Source organism: Homo sapiens, chromosome 10 (assembly GCF_000001405.40).
Source record: "Homo sapiens chromosome 10, GRCh38.p14 Primary Assembly".
NCBI lineage: Eukaryota > Metazoa > Chordata > Mammalia > Primates > Hominidae > Homo > Homo sapiens.
The window spans coordinates 125,471,311-125,496,196 of NC_000010.11; the positions used below are offsets into that span (position 1 = coordinate 125,471,311).

The 24,886-nt window shown below is 39.6% G+C and overlaps 2 long non-coding RNA genes and 1 pseudogene across 2 annotated transcripts in view, besides 1 other annotated feature; 1 reads left to right on the top strand and 2 right to left on the bottom strand.

Moving 5' to 3' along the window:
* LOC105378543 (uncharacterized) overlaps nt 1-22,844 on the bottom strand; it is a 43,029-nt gene extending 20,185 nt beyond the window's left edge. Inside the window, exon 1 of the long non-coding RNA XR_007062331.1 lies at nt 22,530-22,844. This is a non-coding gene — a long non-coding RNA (uncharacterized LOC105378543). The remainder of the gene's footprint in view (nt 1-22,529) is intronic.
* Nucleotides 2,250-2,544: an enhancer, noted in NCBI's record as "tiled region #15007; K562 Activating non-DNase unmatched - State 24:Quies". NCBI's record gives its function as "activates a minimal TATA promoter and a strong SV40 promoter by Sharpr-MPRA in K562 cells {active_cell/tissue: K562}" and the evidence as "EXISTENCE:reporter gene assay evidence [ECO:0000049][PMID:27701403]".
* On the bottom strand, nt 2,369-2,625 carry RPS27P18 (ribosomal protein S27 pseudogene 18; annotated as a pseudogene).
* On the top strand, nt 22,837-24,088 carry LOC124902521 (uncharacterized). Its single transcript, XR_007062332.1, has 2 exons — nt 22,837-22,965; nt 23,479-24,088. It is a non-coding gene; the product is annotated as an uncharacterized LOC124902521 (long non-coding RNA).
* Nucleotides 24,089-24,886: the final 798 nt, after the last annotated feature.

The following is a 24,886-nucleotide window of genomic DNA, read 5'->3' on the forward strand; positions in this document are numbered from 1 at the left end:
CGGAATGACAGTGCCCAGAAGCTACTATGAATGGTAATGACAGGCAATAAAATACCCCTTTAAAAATCCAGCAAAAGATAAAGTCGGTAGATTGTAACAATGCTGCAAACACCAACCGTTAGCAGACTAGCACAGACACAGCAAGAAAACACAACTAAAAATTATTCAATCAGACCAAATGCTTGCAGGGAAACTAGGCCAAGAAAGCAATCAAAATCAAATAGAAGCAAGGTGTGTTTATATAATTCAGCAGTTCCAAAAATTGAGAAATGCATTGCAAAGATATTTCAAGGGTTTCCAGTCTTCGTTTAAGGGGAAAAAATTAATGAAACCTTCATTAACATGAAGAAAGAATAACACAATTCTCTATTCCCTCCCTTAATCCAACCAGTGTTACTAGGAGATGTCATATTTCCTGTGAGAATTCCAGGACGCGATCATAAAATACAACACACATTTATACAATTTATGCTAAGTTTGGTTATACGGCGTATGTGGCAGACCTCTTGAATTAATTGCATTAAATGTTTTCAGTTATAGAAAGAAGATTCATGACTCACAGAGGCCATAAATGAAGCATGGCATACAGGTAGTAATTACCTTGAATTGCATTCTTGAGTCTTTGAAGATAAATTAACCAACAATGAGAATTTGATAGCTAATGCTGCAATTAGTTACAGGTAGAGTGCAGTGACCTATATAACTTACTATTTTTAAAAATCTAAAATTTACACAGGTTAATAGCATAAAAGATTCTTCACTGTTACTCATGGCAGAAATGCAGTTCTATAAAGGCACTACAGTGGCCTTCTTATAATAATTGCTTAACTCTTCGTAAAGAGGTAGAATTACTCATGGTAATTCTTTGGCTATGAATAGGAAAGGCTGAGATTAAGCTAGCTTTCACTGAGCGGTGCTATGTTCCACGCACCTGGACAAATGACACCTCATTCAGCAGTTCAAGAAATTGAGAAATGCATTGCAAATCCCTTGGTTCTATGTGGTTAGATACCCTCCCACTCCACAAATAAGGGAATGGCAGGGGTGTGGAGGGAGGGAAGCAATTGTGCTGTGGCTTTCTCAAGGCCACTTGTATCTACCCTTCAGCTCACTTTCATCACTGGGCAAAGGTTGGATTGCATGTAAATGAGATGCCTGCCAAAGCATTCCTGGTGAGTTAAGAGGTAGGGCCAGTCTACTGGATATGTGCTTTTGCTGCCAAGCATCCCTTCTTCTGGGGAACGAGCTCTCCCTCAGTCCCTAATAGTCTTGCTGGGCCCATGAGGTTTGAGTGGAGCTGACCTCTGAGCCCAGGAAGAAACATATGACCTTGGTTGGCCACTCGGAGCACAAGATGAGGCCAGGTCGATCTGAGAACCTATTCCCTGGGTTCTCAAGCTCAAAGGGAGCACACAGACCTGAGCTACAGCAGTCACATTGTTCTATGTGGGGTACCTCTGCCTGAGAAAGACCAACACGGGAACATGGGAAATGGAGAGACACAATGATATGAACATCATTTTAATTGTACCCTGAAGCCAACTCTATCTGAAAAAAAAATTTAATTAAACTCTATACACTATTCCTATTTTATGAGTTTTTCCCTAATGTCCCTTTTCTGCTCCAGGACCCCATCCAGAATACCACATTTAGTCATCAGGCATCCTTAGACCTCTCTGGGCTATGACAGTTGTTCAGACTTTCCTTGCTTTCGTTGACCTTGACAGTTTTGAAAGGTAATGGTCAGGTATTTCATCGAATGTCCCTTGATTCTGGTTTGTCTGATCGTTTTCTCGTGGTTAGACTGGGGTTATGGGTCTTGGAGAGGCAGAGCAACCACAGAGATTAAGCGCAATTCTCATCCCACATGATATCAAAGGTACAGGATTTATCATCGCTGCTGTGAATGCCCTTCAGTAACAGACCCCCAGGGACACACTATAGGTAGACAAGCTGGGTTTCTTTCTCCTTGCAGTGAGGGAGAACACACACCATGGGGAGCTGTAGGGTGTCTCAGTGGGAGGATGTTAGAAAGAAACTATTACAGGATTTTGGCTTTGGTTGGGTGATTTGGGGGTGGGTCTAAGGAAGCGGAGGTTTCTTCTAGGTTGTATGCTGTCAGAAAGCAGGGCAATTATATGATCGGGTATCTCAATAAATCTTATCTACCAGGAGGCGAAACTGGGGCAAGCTCCCCCTCCCCCACAGTCATCAAAATGTTATTGGAAAACCGATACCAAAATAGGAGATCACTGCTCTGTACCTTACAGAATCAAACATAATTACATCATCTTGTTAGATTCACTAGAATTACTGAACTGATAAGGTTTTCTGCAACAAAAACAAAGTCAGGAAGTTGTGTGGGTGATTAGCGTTGCTTTCTGGTAAATGAGCATCCTTCTTTTGGTCTGCTTTTCCCCCTGCAGGCTGGCACAACCCTGTTGAACAGCCTACACAAAGAACTACTGTCTAAGGATGGATGGAAATCCTGTTAATCTTGGTGCAACCTGGACATTTTATATCCATTAAATAGGAATTTGGATTTTGAACTAGCTGCTTCTTTTTAATTTTTTTTATTATTTCTCTTCCAAGGATGGATATAGTAAAACCTCTAGCCAAAGGCATGCTGATCCTTATCTATATCAACCTACCTATATATAGATGGATATAGCTATCAAAATCTTATCTATAGGGAGGGGGAGACCAGCACAAGGAAAAAGCTAGAATTGGTAAAGAGGTAGCAGTCACTTATTTTGGGTGACAGACGGGGTGTTTGGTATTTTCTGGGTGGCATAATGACCTTGTTGTTGTCTGCGCTTAGACAAAATTATAGAGTAGCCTTGCTTTGTCTCATTTTATCAGTCTCAGAATAACTTTGAGTTTGGTATTCTATGAGACCGTGTATAATTGGAAAATTGTGTGATCTATCTGAGAGCCAGACCAGCTTTGGAATGTCAGTTTTTTCTGTCTCAATGCTAACCCTGATCACCTTTCTTTGCCAAATTCTTTCACCATAGAGGTACTTTTCTGTCTCTTTCTATTCTCTAGCCTTTGGAAGAAAGTGATAAAGTGTAGCTGACGTTTAAGGGGTGGGGAGTTATGCTCTACCTCCTTGAGGGGTTAGCCCTGAAATTGCAAATCTCTTTTTTGCTTAGGCTGGTTTGAGTTGGGGTTTGGGGAACCCCAAACAGTTCTGATGCCTGCTCTCAGGCCTCAGTGTCCCCCTTGCTGGAGTCTGCCTTTGTCAGGGCCTGGCCTCCTATCTGGAATTCTGGTTCCTGCAGGCCAGACCCTTCTCTCTGGATCTGTCTCTGCTAAGATATTGTGAGATCCAGCCTCATTATGGGGAGCACCTGGACTGGCTTTTCCTCCTCCCTCTGGTCACCTGGCTCTGTCCTCTGTTACCTGGAGTGACTTCCCGCCCTGCACTTTTCCCCTAGCTCCAGGTGAGTGGGGCCCCAGAGGTAGGGCTTCCACTGGGAAGGGTCAGTCCCATGACTACGCTGTTGAATGAATGACCTCAGGATGCATCCTCTTGAAAGCACAGAGACCTGGGACAGAAATGAAAGCAGGGTGGACTCAGGGTCGGAGAGGTGGGAACACCTCAGTGGCCATTTTTGTGCCTGGCTTCCATGAAGATGCAAGTGGATTTCCAAACTCCAGAAAACGAGTGGTACCTTGTAAGCCATCACTCTCCTCCTTCATGAATCAAGCCAACTCCCACTTCTATCTCTCCAAGTGTTCTTGAGCCTCAGGGCACCAGGGGGAGGTTCAAATGGCTGCTGCTCGGGCAGACTGCAAGGTGTCCCCTCTTTCGGCCTCAAGCCAGACAGATGTCAGCTGAAGTGGATGAAAGGTGGCTGGTGTCATGGTTAGGAATATGTGTGAAGTCCCTCAGACCAAGGTCTGAGTCCTGCCTTTACCAATGGTGAGTGTGGACTGTGCACGTTACTTAACCTTGCCAATATCCAAAGTCCTCATCTGTAAAACGGAGATAAAATTAGAATGAAACATCTAAAATTATTATTCTTCAACTATTTTAAATGACAAAAGCATCAATGTCATGTATCAGCCTAACTAGTAGCCTCCACCCCATGGACCTGCTGTTGAGAAGATGAGGAGAGAGGCTGGTGCTGGTATCCATTTGTCCATGCCAAGCCCTTAAGACGCATTAGCCACTGGGGCAGCTGTGCTTATTTTAGTTCCGCTTATTAATGAAAAATTTATTATAAAATCACCAAGGAGATTTCTTTAAAAACAGATGAAGGAAGATGACATGTCCAGACCAATGAATTGGATTCTCAGTTTTTTTCCAGTTATCGTGCTGTAGGGGAGTGTCCTGTATCAATGAAGAACCTGTTGGGGATCCATCCTACGTATCAACTAAGAACCAAACATGCTTCTGGGATGCTAAGGTCTCCACCACACTCCAGGCAAGGACTAAGTCTGAAAATTTGGCCTGAACAGAAAATCAAGTACTACTCAATGTGTCTGTCTAGGAACAATAAAATACCATACTAATGGGAGAAGAATATCTAGCAAACGAAGGAAGCAGCAGCATTCTGGCTCCGAGCTGGGATGATCTAAAGAAAACAGGTTGCTCTTTAAAAAAAAAAAAAACCCAAGGAAAAAAAATAGAAGCTTTTGTTCTGCACTAGAAAAGATAGAGTTCTTTCAACTCAGCAGTCAGTTGCTGTACACCACAAGCATCCTTCTGTGTAGGAAAATCAATAAAGACAATAAATAAATGGCAATCCCATTGAGGGCTGCTTACTAAGTGATTAAATGTTTCAAACCCCAAATACTTGCATGCTTCAGGGATACAAATCTGAATGAACATATGTAAATGGAATTAATGCTCAAATAATTTTCTAGTTACTTAGCACAAATGTGCAATTATTAATACTGCCATAATTTATGTTTGAATATTTATCCTCGTTTTCCTAAGCATAAAACCTTTAATCTACTTTTCTGACATAATTTGAAAATAGACGTGGGAATCTTTTTAATCACCGTAGGCTTTTTGTGGAGGGGGAAAGGAGACCAAAGAAAGTCTTTCGGGGACACTTGTTCTAAGGTGAGGCTGGACGATGTCAGATGTCTCTACTTCCCCCCGAGAAAGGGGAGCATACGGTCTTTCAAAATCTATGATGAAGTTGGTGCTAGGATATCAGATTTAGATTCCACTTTTTGTTACAAGGACCCCGTTTTAGGCTGTTCTTGCACTGCTCTGAAGAAATACCTGAAGCTGGTCATTTATAAGAAAAGAAGTTTCATTAGCTTATGGTTCTGCACCCTGTATAGGAAGCATAGTGGCATCTGCTTCTGAGGAGGCCTCAGGAGGCTTCCAATCATGGAAGAAGGCAAAAGGGAAATAGATACATCACATAGCGAGAACAGGAGCAAGAGAGAAAGAGTAGGGGCAGAGGTGCCACACAGTTTTGAATGACCCGGTTTCATGAGAACTTACTCACTATGATGAAAACATCACCAAGGGGAAGGGGCTAAACCATTCATGATAAATCTGTCCCTAAGATTTAGTCACCTCCCACCAGGCCTCATCTCCAACATTGGGGATTATGATTTTTTTTTCTTTTTTTAAATATATTTTTTTAATTATACTTTAACTTTTAGGGCACATGTGCACATTGTGCAGGTTAGTTACATATGTATACATTAACGTGAGATTTGGGTGGGGACAGATATAAAAACTACCTCAGACCCTGACTGTACAAATAAGCATTTTTACGGCTTTTTTTTTTTTAATATATAAGAAAAGTCCTTTGAGTTATGCTGAGGGGCCTGGGGGAGCACAGAGCACAGAAATGACCAGAATCTTTCCACACATTAGCACTGAGGAGAAGGTCTGCCCCTGAGCCCAGATGTTGTTTTCTGTTAGCTCTGGAACTCCCTTGGTGCACACAGGGTGGACGCTCAGGGCTACCTTCTCCCTGCACCCTGCCTGGCTCCAGCAGGAGTTCATGTCCAGTTCGTCACTATGGGCTGTAACTACATCACCTTGGCTTGAAATTATTGTCTTTTAGATGCTTCCCAAGTGTTTTCTAAACTTTGATACAGCAAAGAAATGCCTTCATGTCCGATGTCTTCACCTCTGCTCCCTTCCCCTCCCTGCCAAGCACATGGAAGGGAAGCAAAGCAGTTGCTCTGAAACGTCGTGAAGATGGGAAATAGCCTCTTCCACCTGCATCCCTCTAGCAAGAAAGGAGGCTTGGGTTTGAATTCCAGCTCTGTCCTCACTCATTAGTGACCCTGGAGAAAGTTCTTCTCTTTGAATCTCAGTTTTATCATCTGTTAAAGAGGAGAGAAGAAAGGTGGGGGGAATGGAAGTACAGAATGGGGGAGGGAGAGGAGGAAAGAAGAAGGAAAGGAGGGAAAGTTGGAAGAAAGGAGAGGGGGGAAGTGGAGTGGGGATGGGAAGGAGGGAGGAGGAAGAGTCACCTGGGTAGTCTCCAAAGGTTCCTTCCAAACTTGAGATTCTATGTCTGGGAAATTCCCTGATCCTTCAATCCTCATTTGCTAAGCCTTCTAACTTCTCAGAGGCCCTGCCAGCCTCCTCCCACCCACTCACTGGCTGCATCAGGATCACAGTCATTCTGTCCCAGAAAGCCTAATAAGTTAGAATTCGAATGCAGAATTTTCACTGTCTATGAGCCTCCAAAGTCCCTGGGACCTGGGAATTGGAGGAGGAGAGCTGGGTTTGAGAAACAATGGCTTAAGTGTATTTCTGTGTCCAGTGAAAATTAAACAATATGGCATCAGGAAATGTAGACATTGATTTTAATAATGGATAATGGAGATCCAAGCAGGAATAGAAATACTATTTAAAGTTCATTCGGTTACAAAAAGTAAATAACACAGTCACCTATGTTAAACTCTTATTCATATGTCACTGTCATGCGGAATCATGATATCCTGAAATATATGCTCAATTGTTTAAAATTTTGAAAAATGTATTTCTTATTTATATTGAATTAGGCATGTCATTCACTTCAGTAAAGAAAAAAAAAAACAAAGTTTAAAAGCATATACAATGAAGTCTTCCTCTTACCGTATCCCTCAGCCATCCAGTCCTCTCCAGAGGTAAACAATGTCACCAGCAAACATTGTGTCCTTGTTTATAAAAGCAAACATATAGATTCTTCTTCTTACCTTTTACATACGTAATGACCTACCATAAATTGTGTACATTTCATATCATTTACAAAAAAAAAAAAAAATCAACTGGTCACATGGGCTTAGCCCTCATAATTGTCTGCTTATTAACTTTAACAAACTTGGGCGTGTTTAGATTACCACTGATGCATTATTTGCATAATAACCACATATACAGAGCTCCCAACATGCCAAGCATTGTTCTAAAATCTTTATAAGTATTAACTTGCTTGATGCTCTTCTACCCCACAATCTGACCAATGGATCTATTAAAGGTATCTGAAACGAAGACTCAGTTTATCTAAACTGGTAGTTCTCAAGGAGAGCTGTGCCACCCCAGGGGGCATCTTGTAAATTTGCAATGGTATTTTCTGGTTGTTACAGTGATTGGTGGACACCATTGTCAGTTAGTGAACAGGTCTGGGAATAGATGGGACAGTCCCACATGGGAAAGCATTATCCTGTCTTCAGCACAGCTTTTAAATGTCCTGTTGCACATTCAGGTAGGTAAAAAATCCACTTGTGGTGATCCAATCCCAGTACCTAATGCTGGTCAATATCTAAGCACAAATATTCCTTGCGTGGTTTTCATATACACCACTGACATTTTCAGGAAGCAACAATGATGTAAATTGAGGGCAGATGTATTTTGTTTCACTGGGCACTTTCTCACAAGTTCTTCACCATTTCAGAATATCATGTTGCTAACAGCAATTCTTCCTGTGGGATGTGAATCATCAAGGCAACCAACACACCTGCATCAGAGCCAACCATGTCCCTGCTGACTCATTGGTCTACATCAACAAGAAGCGTGGGTTCACGTTTTTTTCTCTACCCAGGATTTGGAAACAAGAGACTTAGAGGTGAGTGTCAGGATATGCTTTCAAACACCAGGAACACTCTTTCCATTCAACAGACCATGACCAATATCCAAAATAAGAATCACCCAAGAACTGCAGGATGTGCGTGGCTGTCACCTGAGGATGCACAGTGTATCTTGCATTTTTCCTGTGAATGCCTCACCTCCCCTTTCTGGGCAAGTGGGAGCCTGGGACTTGATCTAGGTAGGACTTGTAGATGTGGGAGGGGCAGGGCTTCTATAATCTATATCCTGGCAGAGGTTGGCCTAGGGAGAAAGAAAGAGCCCAGATGTCCAGAGCAGGCCAATGGGAAGAATGGAAGAAGAAGGAACAAGACCGTAGACTCAGGAAGCAGAGCCAGGAAAGATTCCTAGAGAAAGTGAAGGCAGAGAGACCTCTGTGATAACCTGCAGGGGAGCCAAGGAATAAGAAGAAGCTTAAAGGATCCTGCGTCTCCCTCCTGGAACCAGCCTACGGTAACAACCAACCGAAAGGAAGGCAGATGGCCATTTGCAGTAACTCCCAAAGCCAGGGTTAAAGACTTCACAATCTGGTTTTGCAGACATGATGATGATTCAATTATCCTCCTCTACTTGGGCCACACTACTGCTTAAATTTGATAAGGCAATGAAGACCAAGGAAATGAACTTTTAACCTAAAAAGACTTAGATGGAATGTTAATTAACTCTCTAGGGATTTAAGACTGATAAGTGTAACCTGAAAACAGTGGATTAGTTTCCTTTGGTGTAAGACTGAAGATGAAGTTAGCTTCCCCTTTTCCTGTTGGTGGGAAGGACAGGAGGTGGAGAGAACCTATGGAATGGGGAAGGCTTGCGGGCCAGCAGCATTTAAGGCACAACGGCACCCTGGCTCTCCACCTGAAGGATGTCTTCTTACCCGGTGAGTCCCAGCTTAAATGACAGCATCATCGGAAATACTTACATTCTCAAGGAAATTTACTAAAACAGAATGCCCATGAAACTTAAGATAGACAGTCAGATGATAAAACTTAAGAATAACACAAAAAGGGGGATGGGAAATTAAGGAAAGAAATTGAGGGCAAAATAAACCCCAAGGCAGAAATAATCAACCCATTATTAGCAATAAGAAAAACAATTGGCTTTGCAGAAAACTGAGTCAGAGACATAAGGAAGAGATTTGTGAAAGTTGAACAGAATGCAAAAGGAAACAAGAATAGTGACAGGTAAGGAGGGCACGCCACAGAGATCAATATACAAACACCAACGTCCTGGAACAGAGAACACACCAAAAGGTGCAGAAAGGCAGATTTAAAGGATAATGGGAAAAACTCTCCTGAGGTGAGAAAATGGAATCTTCCCATCAAACAGACTCACCAAATTCAATGAAATCATGATCAGCAATAGGAAGACATATCTTGGGGAATCTACTGAACTTCAGAAATAAAGAAAGCTGCACTAATTGAAGACAGGACAAGTCTCTTCAAAAGGTAAAAATTAAGCTCAGCTCAACCATATTTAATGTCAACAGATATTTATAGATTTGGGGAAACAGATAAGTGGCCCAAGAATTTTGCTATGCAGTTGAATTAGCATTCATACATAATAACAACACAAAGACATTCGCAAATGTGCAAGGACTAAAGAGAGATATTGTCCTTCTATGTGAATCAGCACATCTGCTAAATAAACTCTGATGAACTCAAAGAAGAGGTAGACTAGGAACACCAGTGTCTAAAAGGATTTGAGGTAAATATCAAATCCACATCAATAAAGCTAACTAATTGTGGTGATTATATTATTAACAGAATGTAAGTTTATGCATGCAAAAAATAAAACATTTTACAGGAAACATTAAAAATATCTATAAAACTTGCTATTATAAAGTGAACATAAATGTTTTATATAAAAATTAAAATATAATAAGAAAAGACTGGGATAAAAGATAAATACTAAATAAAACTATCAAAAAATACCAATTAAACTTAGGAAGAAAGAGAGGGAACCAAGAAAAATAAATGCAAGAGTCCTAATTTCCTCACACTGTTCCATATCCTAAATTCATAAAAGGAGAGAGAGTTAAGCCTATTGTTTAAAGTTGTAAAGGTAGCCATTAGTTAGAAATTAAAACAGATTAAATATATTCCATATGCCCCCAGGACAATAAACAATCAAAAACATATAGTGAGAGAAACAACACAAAGGAAAAACCAAGGAAGCAAAAACCCCCGAAAACATTAAATAAGATTAAAACATTGAAATGAAACACAGCTATTATAAAAATAAATGCAAATGTGATAAAAGTTAAGTTCCATTTTTAAAAAAAGAATTTACATTTGGGATCTGTAACTAAATCTAGCTATATGCTGTAAAAGACAAACTTAGAAAGTAAAAGGATGGCCAAAGCTACACCAGGCAGCAAATGGAAAGTAGTAGGGTTTATAAAGCAGTATTAATATTAGAGTTGAATTTAAGGAGAAAAGTATGATAATGCTGAGGTATAAAACTCACTGTGAAAATGCATGTTTGCTTGATCTTCATACGCCGAACAATATAACATCAAAATAGATAAAGTGAAAATTGCAGGAAATAAAAAGATAAACTGTTTGAAACAAGACAGTAATGGGAGAATTTAGCATATCTTTTTTAGTCACTACTGGCCTCTATAGACTAAAAATAAGTAAGTAAAGAGAGGAAAACAAAACCAAAAACAAAAAACCTCACAGGATTCGACTAACATAATTAACAACAATTTCTTTTCACGTGTTCATGTGTTTTGTAGAAGTTGAGTAATAAACAAAACTAGTAAATTCTAAGAAAACATAAATGGTTCAGATTTTCTGACTACAGTACAATAAAATCAAAGCTAATAACAAAGGAGGAAAAAACCCTCCCCTAACTAATAAATGTGCAAGCATCTTCTAAACTACTCTCAGGCCAAAGAATTCAAAACCACAGATAAAGATAATGACAACAAAAACAACACGTATCAGATACTAAAGCTGTACTCAGAGGAAAACACAGTTTTAAATTCTTTCACTACGAATCATTAGAGAGTGAAACTAAATGAATTAGGCACCCAAATCAAGTATATAGAAAAATATCAAATAAACACAAACAGCAAAAGTAAGGAATGAATAAAGATATATGCAGATAAAAATAAATTAGCAAACAAAAATGCCAGAATAAAACCAAGAGCAGTTCTTTAAGAGAAAAGAAAAAAAAAACCCACAGTAAAATAAACTACTTGCTAGACGAATCAAGAAAAACGCGAGAAAGCACAAAAATGCAACACTAAAAGTGAGAATAGAAAAATAACCATAGATACAATGGGAGCTAAAGGAACTCAAAACAATATTTTGTACAACTGTAGCTAATACATTTGAAAATGTAGATGAAAGGCAGGCTGTATAAGCCTGGTTTTCCAGCGTCCCTTGCTAAGGAGACATCTGCAGAGGTAAGGAGTTGGCTTTTGGGGAAATGCCTGCATTCCTGAAAAACAACCACCACCCCACTCTCAGGGTGCTGCAGGCTTCTTGCAATCAAGAGGGAAAAGCCAGCCCACTCCGATAAATGACACGGCTGAGCCATGGACGGAACCATAACACACTTCTACCCGGTATTCTTGTGGTTGGAAAGAAGAAAACTTTTTGTTTGAATCTCTATGACCCAAGTTTTCTGTTATTGCAACAAAATACATTTCTAACTGGAGGTGTACCTTGTTACCACAATGAAGCCAGTACCCTGCATTCATTTCAAAAATGTCTCTCTGGCTAGTTTCATCTCTCATTTGCTGGAAATGTGGGGCAATGCAACCCAACAATAGAACCAAAGGAGAAACAGAAAAAGGAGAAGGCAGATTACTGTTATTTAACATATTGTGACTGATAATCAGAGCACCCAAATGAATTAACTGAAAACTCGTATTAAAAAATATAACTTAAGGTGGCTGGCTACATAATTAATATTCAAAAATAAATAGATTTACTATATAAAATAATCACTAATTAGAATATATAGTAGAAGAAAAGATCCTGCTTATAGCAGCCACAAATTGATAAAATAACTAAGAACATATTTGGAAAAACAGGACTCAAACCTGTAAAAATTTACTTATTCTTAAAAGGCAATGCTTAATGAGTTCTCACCATATGAATTATAAATTCAATAAATCTTAACAAAAAGAAAGCTAGTGGAAATATTAAGTAAACCAAGATGAAAATAATGAAGAATAATATTAAATGGAGCAAAAATACTTGACTTTCTTTTTTGTTTTTTTTTTTTTTGAGACAGAGTGTCACTTTGTCACCCAGGCTGGAGTGCAGTGGTGTGATCTCTACTCACTGCAACCTCTGCCCGCCGAGCTCAAGAAATTCTCCTGCCTTAGCCTCCTGAGTAGCTGGGCACACGCCACCATGCCCAGCTAATTTTTGTATTTTTAGTAGACACAAGCTTTCACCATGTTTTCCAGGCTGATCTTGAACTCCTGACCTCGAGATCTGCTTGCCTCAGCCTCCCAAAGTGCTGGGATTACAGGCATGAGACACCGCACCCAGCCTTGGTCTTCTTAGAGAAGCAATCTACTAAGAAGATAAAATAGTTATGTTTTTATGTCTAAAATTGTGCAATACAAAAACTGTTAGAAAAGTCAAAGCAATACTAACAAAATAAATAGTGAGACAATTTAATACAACTCTCTCAGAAACTGACCAATAAATGAAGACACAAAGAATTTGAATAACACAATAAACAATTCTAACTTAATAGATATATGCAGAAGTGTATGGCCAAAAAACAGAAAACAGGCATTCTATTCAAAACCACAAAACCTTTCAAAATGTTTATGTCACAAAGAAATCTCAGTTTCTAAAGGTAAAAACCATAAATGTCACTTTCTCTGACTGTAATTCAATTAAACCAGAAATGAATGACTCTAAAACCTTGAACATTAAAAAATTCTCCTCTAGATAACACTCAAGTTAAAAATAAAGTACAAATTAAATTATAGAACATTTAGAAATTGAAAAAATCAAAGTAGAACAAATCAAAGTTCTTGGGTTACGGCCAAAATAGTATTTTAATAGAGGAAAATTTATTTCCTTAAGCTCATTTTTTAGAAAACAAAGAAGACTAAAATTAAATGACTAAGCATTTAACTCTAGAAGTTAGAAAAAGAAAGAACAATAACATCAAATAGAAGGCAAATTCATTTATATCTCATCTCAAGAATAAAATTAGAAATTACTGACATAGCAAAAAGGTAAACTTGATAGATAAAATCAATAGTTGGTTTTTCAAAATAGCTGATGAAATAGACCCAATCTCTTGGCAGTTCTAACCAAGGAGAAAATGGAGAAAACACACTTAATAGAAAATAAATATAAAATATAGGCAAAGTCATTAAAAAACCATACAAGGAGAATAATTACACACTTTCTTCTAAGGAGATGTTTTAAGTCTTATTAATTTTACAAGATTTTTAGTAAATCTTGTAAATTTTATTAAAAGAAATTTAACGTACTATAAGAGGACTGTATTGTGGCAGTGGTCCTTGCCTGCACGTGAGTGAGCTTGACTTTGCTTAGAAGCTCTCTTCATTCCACTGTCACCTCAACAAAGATTTTTACACTGGTAGCAAGACAAGCAGTTGAAATTTTTACTTAAATTTAGACCCGCTGCGCTTACGTAAAATATCTTCAAAACTGAGCGTAACATAAGGAAACATTGAAGGGAGTGGTGCCGTGTGTTCAGAGCTAGCTCAGAAGCCCAAGAAGCTGAGGTCTTCTGCCTCACTGCAGAGACTGGAAGAGACACCTCGGGGTGGGAGAAAGGAACCCATCTTTGGTTGTTTCCTGGAAGAGTTCACTGAATTGCTGGAAAATTTTAGCTATGAAAATAACATAGTTGACAAAGCCGAGGGCAGTAAATTGTTTTAAAAGAGAACTGGAAAAGAACACCCCAGGAACAACAAACGCACCAAGCACCCAGATCTTGTTTGTTAATCTCATCCTGCAATGAAAGGAACCAACTCTTCTTGGAGAAATGACTGATTCTAGGACTGCGGCAAGAGACGCACAAAATGAGCCTGGAGCTTCTTTTAGGGACAGAAAGTAAACAAGTGCTCAAAAACAAACAAACACACAGAAACCCCCCCACAATGACGGCGGCTGTCAGAGGGACCCAGGAACCAAGCGAAAGAGCTCCCAAGGGTGGAAAATGGAGCAATATGAGCAATAAAATAAAGTAGTATTGGAAATATAAAATAAATATCTATGAGTCCATGCTGATAATGAATAGATTAGAGTAGATTAATAAATGGAGGAGTATAGACAGATCTCCTTGCAGAATATTTCCAAATAATTTATGTGGATACTCTAGTCTCAAACAGGAGACGCATAACTCTCCATTCCTTAGGTGTTGGCTAAAAATAGTGACTTCCTTCCAAAGTGTGGAGTATGGAAAAGGGGAAAAGAGTAGCTGTACAGCAGGGAAACCTCACAAGCACTATCCCAGCCGGGTCAACAGGGCCAGCATGCACGATCATAAATCTTATGCATGACACACTCTTGAGATGATGCGATGAGACTGGCCCTCTACCTCTGTGGTCTCCCTCCCAAGAACTCATAACCCCAGTCTTATGAAAAAAACCTAAAGATAAATTTCAATACAGCAGCATCCTGCAAAATGCATGACCTCAAAACTGTCAAGGTCATTCAACAAAAACAAGACAATCTGAGAAACTGCCACAGCCAAGAGGGGCCTAAGGACACACGAAGACCAAATGTGCTGTGGGATCTTGGATGGGACCCTGGAGCAGAAAAAGGACATTCAGTAAAAACTAAAAGAATTTGGCCGGGTGCAGTGGCTCACACCTGTAATCCCAGGACTTTGGGAGGCAGAGGCGAGTGGATCACAAAGTCAGGAGTTTGAGACCAGCCTGACCAACATGGTGAAACCCAGTCTCTATTAAAAATACAAAAATTAGCTGGGCGTGGTGGCACGCGCCTGTAATCCCAGCTACTCAGGAGGCTGAGGCAGGAGAATCCCCTGAACCTGGGAGGCGGAGGTTGCAGTGAGCTGAGATCGCACCACTGCACTCCAGCCTGAGCGACAGAGAGAGACTCCATAAAAAAAAAAAAAAAAGAATCTAAATGCACTATTGCTCTGGTTTGAAAGTGTTCTCCAAAGTTCATGTGATAGAAACAATCCCCAAGGCAACAGTGTTGAGAGGTGGGACCTTTAAGAAATGATTAAGTCATGAGGTTTCTGCCATCAATGGATTAACGTCCTTATCACGAGAGTAGGTTCTTTATCACTCCTCACGCACTCTGAAGCCACACAATGTCTTCTGTCACCAGAAGGCCCTTGTCAGGTGCAGCCCCTCAGTCGTGGACTTCCCAGTCTTCAGAACCCTGAGCCAAATAAACTATTGAATATAAATTACCCAGTCTCAGATATTCTTTTATAGCAACACAAAACAAATGAAGACAACTCTGTTCTTTAGCTAATGATAATGTATCAATATTGGCTCATTAATTACAACAAATGTATTATACTAGTGTAACATATTAATAAGAGAAGAAACTGGAAGCAGGGTATATAGGAACTCTCCATTTTTCGGTAAATCTAAACTGTACTGAAAAATAAAGTCTTGGGCTGGGCATGGTGGATCACACCTGGTAATCTCAGCACTTTGGGAGGCTGAGGTGGGCGGATCACTTGAGGTCAGGAGTTCGAGACCAGCCTGGCCAACATGGTGAAACCCTGTCTCTACTAAAAAAATACAAAAATTAGCCAGTGTGGTGGCTGGTGCCTGTAATCTCAGCTACTCAGGAGGCTGAGACAGGAGAATTGCTTGAACCCAGAAGGCAGAGGTTGCTGTGAGCTGGGATCACGCCACTGTACTCCAGCCTGGGCAACAGAGTGAGACTCTGTCTCAAAAAAAAAAAAAAAAAAAAAACAAAAACTTAAAAAAATTCAGTAAGTGGTGGTGGTAGGATGTGGACAATGTACCTTGACTCCTTAGCCTGCACTCTCAACAAGTAAATAATTTTCTAGGAAAATAAACATTATCACTATTTTCTCAACTAAAGAAATAACCTAAATAGAGCAAGAAGCCTAGATCAATGTAACAGGTAGGTAGAACTGTGTACCCGCATTGCCCTCCCTCCCTGAAAGGTTAACAGTCCCAGATGGCTTAATAAACAAGTGTTGCCAAAGGAACCAACAACTGTGACATTTAGGCTTTTCCAGAGAATTTTTTTAAAAAATAAATTTTTCCTAAATCATTCTGTAGAGCTGGTATAATCCTGACACCAAAACACGACAAAAAAAAAATAGCACCCACACAAATATAAACCAATGCCATTGGTGAATGTATGTGCAAAATCTGATGTAATAATAAATGCTATGCAGGGGAGAAGCTGGGGTAGCTCAGAGTGGGTCAGCAGGGAGGCCTGGGGGCAGCAGCTATTAACCAGCTTGTATGGAACTAGTTCAGTATTTAACAGCTTTCCCGGTATGTTCTGGCGGTCAGCCCAGCCCTGGTAGAAACCCATTTATATTGTATATCTGTGCACACTTGTGTTTTTAGTCTGTAAATATATAGGTCAGGGTCTGGAAGGACATGCACCAAGTTGCTAACAGGGCTGAGAGGATTGAGACCAAAACCGTGGTTGGTAGTAAAGGGAACTTTGGCTTTTATGGTTCAATGTACATTTTTTCAACTTTAAGATAGTGCAAAAGCTATACGAATTCAGTAGATAGAAACTGTACTTCAAGTACCCATACAACTTTTCTGTTTTTCACTTTCACTGCAGTATTTGATAAATTACATGAGACATGCAACTCTTCATTATAAAACAGGCTTTGTGTTAGACGATTTTGCCCAACTGTAGGCTAATATAAGTGTTCTGAGCATGCTTAAGCTAGGCTAGGCTAAGCTATGATGTTTGTAAGAGTATTAAATGTATTTTTAACTTACGATGGGTTTATTGGAACAAAATCCCATTGTAAGTCAAGAAGCATCTGTATATTCACTGCAATAAAATAAAAATTCCCATGAAAAATTATTGACTTGAGATATGATATAATATGATAAAAATGAGCCAAAAACTCATCTGTGAAAATAAGCACGTGCAAATGGAGAATCAAGAGCTTGGGGAAAAAAACTTGCCCTCACTAATATTAAAATATATTGGAAGTTTCAGCATTTTAAAAAGTGCCATACTGACTCAGGAATAGGGAGAAATGCCAGTAGGTCAGAATACACTGTTCAGAAAAAGACTCAAGTATATATAGAAATTTAATGTACGATAACAATGGCATTTTAAATCAATGGGTAAAAGATGGATAACTAAGATGGTTAGCCGTTGGGAAAACATGAAGTTAGATCCCTATCACACTGTTTACACTGAAATAGATTGTAGATGCTTCAAAGATTTAAATGTAACAATCTAAAACTACGAAAGCACTAGAAGAAGACATGAGTGACTTATGCAATGTTGGCATAGGGAAGGCTTTTCTGATATAGTGAGAAAGCTAAAAATCACATAAAACTAGATAATGAGGCTCCCTAGAAATGAAAGATGTTTGCACAATAAAAAAAATGATAAACAAAGTCACAAGATAAAGAATAAGCTGGGGAAAATATTTGTCACACATATAGGATAAAAATTCATGTCCTTTGTAAAAACGAAGAAGATGTGAAAAATCTCAAGATCAACTTGAATAGGAAGTGACAGAAGGGGCGGTAGGTAAAATTCTTCTAGATTGCCACTGGGCAATGCTTTTTCACATATCAAACGTGCACACTCCAGCCTAGACAGTCCAGTTCTAGAAACCTACTCTCTAGAAATATTCACAAAAAGTGTAATATTGGTTACAATTTTTAAAATCTGAAAAAATCCAAATGTACATTAATAGGATATTGGTTAACTAAATTGTGGTATGTACATACAATGGAATACTCTGCAACTACTAAAAACAAAAAAAGTAAATCTATGTGTGTGGACATGGAATTGTTTAAGATAATTACTTAAGTGGAAAAACATTACGAAGCGACATGATCGCATTTTTGTAAAATAATTGGAATATGTATATTTGTAGAAATTCAGAAAAGGACCTTGAAAGATTATACATCAAATATATATCAATCTGTTATAAGGATGATTTCTGAGAAGTGGAAAAAGAAAGTGGAATTATGAGAGGTATCTCTATTTTATATCTTACGTTCATATCTAGTTCGAATGTTTTTACAGTTTGCATTACACCATCAAGAAAAATAACAATTAAAGTTCAGAAATAACAATTGTTAAGGTTATTTTCTCACTTCCATATTCATCATTATTAGCAAAATAAAATTTTCCAGCATAAAAAAAGGCAACCAACTTGACTGATGCACCAGCTGAACGAGTTCAGGATCATGGGCAATCTCCCTCTTCAGTCCAAGTGTGAGTTCATTCAGAAAGGACTTCCAAACACGGGATTTAGAGAAAAGCCCCAGGGAAAACCATCGCAAACTCCCCCACAACTTTCTTCCTAGCCCTTCACTCTTCTAACAGGCTGAGGGTGGCCTTAGCCAGGAACAATGAGTGGCGAATAAGTGGCTTTGGACAGGAAGTTGCCACTCCAATAGGAAACTTGGCAGCCAAACTGAAGCGATGGAAGCTTTGTGAAGTGAAGAAAGCCCACCAGCTGTGGAACAATATGGGCTGCTGTGGTGTAGTGAAAAAGCACTGGATTTGGGATCATAAAATTGGGGTCGGGGATCCATCCCCCTTGATGATTGAATTTGAAACTCAGATAAGGGCTTTGAGCCTCACTTTCCTCCTCTGAAAAGTGGATTCGTGGTATCTATCTCACAGGGCTATGGTGAAGATTCAATGTAAATATGTATACGGAATGCTTTGTAAATAGTAAGACAGCGTACACGTGCAAGTGGTCACTCTACCACTTGTGGCGTGTGTTAGCTAGTAGAAGCCAGTGGTGGGACCATCAATTTCAGCTCTTGATGACCATGCACATCCACAGGGCTAGGGTTGCCAGAAAGAATACAAGACCCCTAGTGAAATTTGAATTTTAAATAAGTAATGATTTTTTTTTAGTATGTCCCATGCTAACTGAGCATAGCCAGCATTTAGTTTTAACTATTTCTTATTGTTCTCTCCTCATTTCAAATAAATTAGATGCATCTTCTCCACTATTTTGAAAGCCCCAGGGGAGTACAGATCATAGCGTATATATCTTGGATGCTCCAGATGCCTGAACACTGTCATGCACAGAACAAGTGCTAAATAAACAGTAACTAGAGCAATGCGTTCGTCATTAGCACTAATACCTTCAGAGTTTGAATACACATCCTAATATCCACGGGTCCCTCTCTCTCATCTGACTACTGCACACATGTGAATCTGCTGGTGCTCAGGAGTTCAGGTACTGGCCTTAAGTGGGGAAGTTAAGGAAAGAAAGTCTCCAAGACCTAGCATGATGCAGACCTGCTTGCTCCTACACCAACACAGTAAGTCTGGGATGTGACTGAATCTCCCAGAACTTGTCTTAAAATATTAAAATCCCTCCTATACTTTGAGTCCTGCTTTATGGTTGTGATTCGCTATGAGATAAATAGAAATTTTTAGACTTCATTTATGTAAAAAGAAGAAAGAGAATTTATGCCTTTAAAACACAGAAAGGAACTCAAGTTTGGCTGGGTTTGGGGCTACTGGATTTTGAAAAGAAGGCAGCATTTCCTAAACACTGGTCCCTGTCATTCTTTCTTACTTGGCTCTTTCTTGCTAAACTTTTCAATGAGGACTTGGAGCTGCCGTGAATGTCCCTGGGTTAAAAGAACATATTAAATCAGTATTTGGTAAGAAGGGAGGTAAAATCCCCAAAATATAGGAGTAACTCTACCCATGGACAAGATGACAATCTAGATGCACTATACGTAATCAATGGCGTGTTTTTTGGGGGAAAGATACAAAGCTTTTTCTGGAATTCTTTGATAAAATACACACTTGAACCACAAAAAAGGAAATGTGACAAGGAAATACTTTGCATATTGAGTTGTGGCCATGGTTATGGAGGAGTGTACACCATTTCCAATTAAACAAAGAAATAGGCAGCAGAAAACACTTTAAAAAGGAAAACCACGGAGTCTCTTTCAAAGAAGAGTGGAATTTTCACTCTACCTTATTCATTAAAGTTAGAAACTGCCATCCCTTTAATGAGCAGCCTGAGGGTGGAGAAATTGTCTTGAATAGCTATATTCCAGGGAGCACTTGGCATCATCACTGAAACATAGTGTGGGATTGCAATTGTGTGGGGTTTTTTTTCCCAGTGAATAGGAAGCGATCAAAGATAACATTGCCTGAGAAAGAATTAAAATAGTGTAACATTGCATCAAGTTATAGCCAATGCCAATCATTATATGGATGAATGAACAAGATCCTTTAAATAATGGTATAGACGTGCTGTGGCATTCAAAATATAATGACCAACTTCGGGGGGGTTCAAATAAAAACGCAAAAGCATGTGCCCACTCATCTGGCCAAAACAGTGAAGTATAAGCACGTCTCTTTAAATAGATCTGCAAGCCATATCCTTCATTTACATCATCTATAAAACACTGGACTATAGGAAGTAAATTAATTCACAAAGACTGCCACAGAAATTTTATATTAGCAAGGCGAAATGCTATCTATGACGAGACTAGGAAAATTAGAGGCACAATCAGAAAAAATAAAGTAAAAGGGATTTATATAATTACAGTGTGATCACCTTTCCCTCTGTGAAAGGACAGGAAAGGAAAGCACAATGCAGGAATTGAATTCATCATTGTGTGGATGAGAGCTCCTGGCATATAATGCTAGACAGAGCTATTTACTGGAAAAAGTGTTGCTTTATTTACATGCTAAACAGCATCACCTTCTAGCTTCAGAAGACTGACAAATAACAGCATAGCAAGGAAGAGAAAGAAAAGGCAATCTTCCCTACTCCAGACAGAATTGGAACAGGATGGACACATATTGTCACCAATCCAAACATCTTGACCCCATCGCTAGAAAATGGAATCCCCAGCTTCTCCAAACATCTCCAAAGAGATCATCTTTGCTTTTTTGGTTACAAGAATGATAACAAGGAAACTCGACTCTGCATCCAATAGGAGGGATGAGAGCAGGGAAAAGAAAATCAGCACACTACTTAGTCTAGGAAATCTCCACAGCACAACTCTTTCAAAAGATGGAAAAAATAAAATTTAATCTGTGACAGAGGATACAGAAATGAGTCCAAATGCACCTCCTTGTGCCCTTAACCAAAATAATAATAATAATAATAATAATAATAATTCGATCTAATGAACAAAGAAAGACTGGCTGATGAATGAAGTGAATTGTTTTAATGCAGTAAACAGGAGGTCTGAATAAAGAGATCAAAGGAGGCCAGAGTGCAATGCACCCACAAGTGCAATTGCTCCCCAGGGAGTGACAAGAATAAAATTGCAAGATTTTGCTCCAAGTTACAGCCAGTGGTTCTAATCTAGTTGTCTATGCTAATCAAGGCACAGCCTTTGAGCTTCCTCCAAAAAGATTTCACTTTTTGATTTAGAAAATAATGCTTGAACTTGCAGTTGGTATTTATAAATTCTGACAGATACCAGGAGGGGACATGAAAGCACTGTGTGGGAAAACAAATAAAATACCCAGGATATCATTCTAGCCTTTCCTATTCTTAGTTATGAAAGCTTTGGCAAATAATTTTATCTCTGGGCAACTACTTCTAAATTTTATGCATTTACCTTGTCCTAAATATTTGTATTTAACAATAATTATAACACCAACAAATATTTTTCTTAAACACAAACAAAAAAACTAGACAGAAGATTTACATAACAACCTGTATTGACAGAATATCCATAGTTTTCATTTCTCATTAGATGTTTATTGAGTGAGATGAAGGCTTTAAGATTATCTGGGTAACATTTACTTATATTACTTAAAATTTGTTAATGAGACTATAAATAGTTGCTTGGACAGAAATGAAAAATACATGTTTGCATGACTCAGTTTGAATTTTGGTTGAGATGAATTTTGGTTGAGGGACAGGGATGGTGAAAAGCTCACAGGGAAGCACACTGGAAAGTGTGGTGATGCGAATGCCAGGTAAGGAAAGAGGGAGCTGGTTCACTGCCTAGAATCGGCCATGTTTCCTTTGCAGATTCCAGCATATTGAGGGCTCAGTTAGCAGCTCTGCAGAGGGTGGACATTCACCAAGGATGTGCCCCAGGAGGAAATAAGCCCCACCCACCCCACCTGGCAGCTGACCCGGGCTGCATGTATGCCAGCGAGCATAGGCATTACCCAGTAGCCATTATGCTATTATCTGGCTGCCATTGCCTTTTAGTAATTACCCAGCAGCCATTGCCCTGCAACCATTACCCAGCAATCATTGCCCTGCAGCCATTGCCCTGAAGCTATTACCCAGTGGCTATTACTCAGCTGCCATCCCCTGGCACCATTACCTGCTGTCATTATCCATCAGCCATTTTGTGTGGGTCTCCAGCGACCCAACGTGGAGCTGCTGCCACTGTGCCCAAGTTGCACTGTTGCAGGAGAAGCTGGCCGCAGTCTCCCTTCCTGACCCAGAAATCCTTTATGGCCATAAGGCCCAGCACAGGGGCCTGGGCCATGCTCCTGGAGGGAGCCAGGTCATTTGCAGGAGGGATCCTTGACTTGGGGAATGACAGGAGGCAAACAGGAAGTGTCCTTTCATGGTGGGTGAAGGATGAAGCTGATAAAAGCCTGACCACCTGGGCAGTTATCCAAGGCCCAATCTGGAAGAAGCCTAAGGGAATTCTGGAATCCCTGTGGAGTTCTAAAGGGATTCAGAGACTGTTTTATTTACCACAATACATCTCACTTCTGGGGCTGGACAACTACTTTGCGACACTGGTTTGAGTAAGACAAACTGCCTAGGAGGATGGGTTAACTATAAGATTCTGCTTTGCCCAAGTAGATGTGCCCTGGGCTTTCCAACCCCCATCTGTCTGCTGGCCCACCTCTACTCTTCCTCCCTGCTCAAACATCATCTCTCATCACCCCCACCACCCCACCCCACCTCACAGTGCTGTCTTACCTATAATGCAAGCCAAAACCTTTATGAAATTGTGCTCTGTGGTGGAGGAAGAGGACTTGGAAGAGTGTGTCACTCAATTGTACCCCAGCCCAGAGCTCTATCACTCTCATGTAGGTAGGACCAGGACCAGGGATTGGTCACCCTGGTATCAAAGGTGTCCACCTCTGAGGCTTGGAGTGAAGCACGGTCCCAGAGCAGCAGGAGACCTCATCCACACAGCAGCTGGAAAGGAAGGGGAGGGACATGGCACATATCACACGGTTTTTCTGACTCTGGGGGGGGTAGAATTAGAGGAATCTGCTTTGTGACTGTCATTGTGGTTATTTTCTGCCCAGGCTGTGTGGCCTGGGAAACGTGGATAACTGAAGCTGCCCTGGCACGGCAGAGCTTGGACGTTTGACAGACAATCACTGGCAAAGAGACCGTGGGCTTTGGGAGCACATGTTGTAAACAGACCCCTGTTTGTGAAAGTGCTTGTGGAAGGTCTTACATTCGGCTTCCTGCGTACAATGAGTGACTTAGGCTTCAGAACCCTGGACCAATCCAAGGCATCATACATTCCCAAAGGCTCAGTAGGTCTCTCCTTTTCACTGGATTCATCAGTGGCTTGCTGAGTTTTGTTCTGGCTAAAGTGTTCACATAAATGAGGTCACCAGGCATGTTCTGAAGCGGTGGAAAGACTCCTGTGAAGAAATCAACAGAAACTGGATTTGTTCCTGTTAATGAAATTTCAAAATCTACGCCAGATCTACGTACAAATCATGGACTTGAACTATGTCCTAGAACAGCATAAAAAGAGGAAAGGTTTTAGGTAGAAATATAGCACTTCCATGCTGGATATAGAATTTCATATCGGAAGCCTTAAAGTTACAAGCTTATCACAATATTTTCAGTGTTGAATGATTATGTGAATAAAATGGTGAATTTATTGTTTCGTTTCTGAAAGAAACTATTTTACATCATTTATACACTTTAGGTAAGGTCAATTTTGTGTGTGTGTTTTATGTCTTTGGGAGAAGGCATTTCTAATGAAAACGAAATTCACAAGGAGAACTCCATAAGCCCAGGTTCCAAGAAGCCCAGCCTATGCGCTACAGCTTTAAAACAGCATGCTTGACGGTGTTTTTCAGGTTTGATTACATCCTGTGATCTGCATTGTTGATCTTCAAACAGACAGAAAAAGTGGAGAGGCATGTTGGAATTTCAGCATAAACTCCATAGTGTAGTGAAGAAAGACTGTTATTATACAGACTTATTTTTTTCATAATGCAAATTATGGAAGTTAAAGTTTGAGAAAATCCTTTTGGCTAGTGGGGATATTTGCAAAGGTCAGAGAGGAGCAGTATGAGCTAATTAAAAGAAAAAAATAAAGATTGAGAAGCTCTCTAAATATTAGATATTTTATCTACTAAAAAAGGAACTTAGGTAAAGAAAATAATCATATAAAAGAATAAAATATGATACAAACTGATGGAAACTTAACTCATATCTGACATAAAAACTCCTCACCAACATTGTGTTAGAAAACTTCTGATAGACTGTGGTACCCAAGATTTCCAAAATTAAGGCACTAAGATAATGAAATTCACCTTTTCATCCCTATTTTTAGACCAAAATAAACTTAAATTTAAATTTGAAAGCAGACAGGTATTCAGAACCTTAAGACTGTGATTTTATTCTGAATAATTGCCTTTTATTTTCAATGCCTATTGTGTCTTTACTGTACCTCATGTCACAATTTAA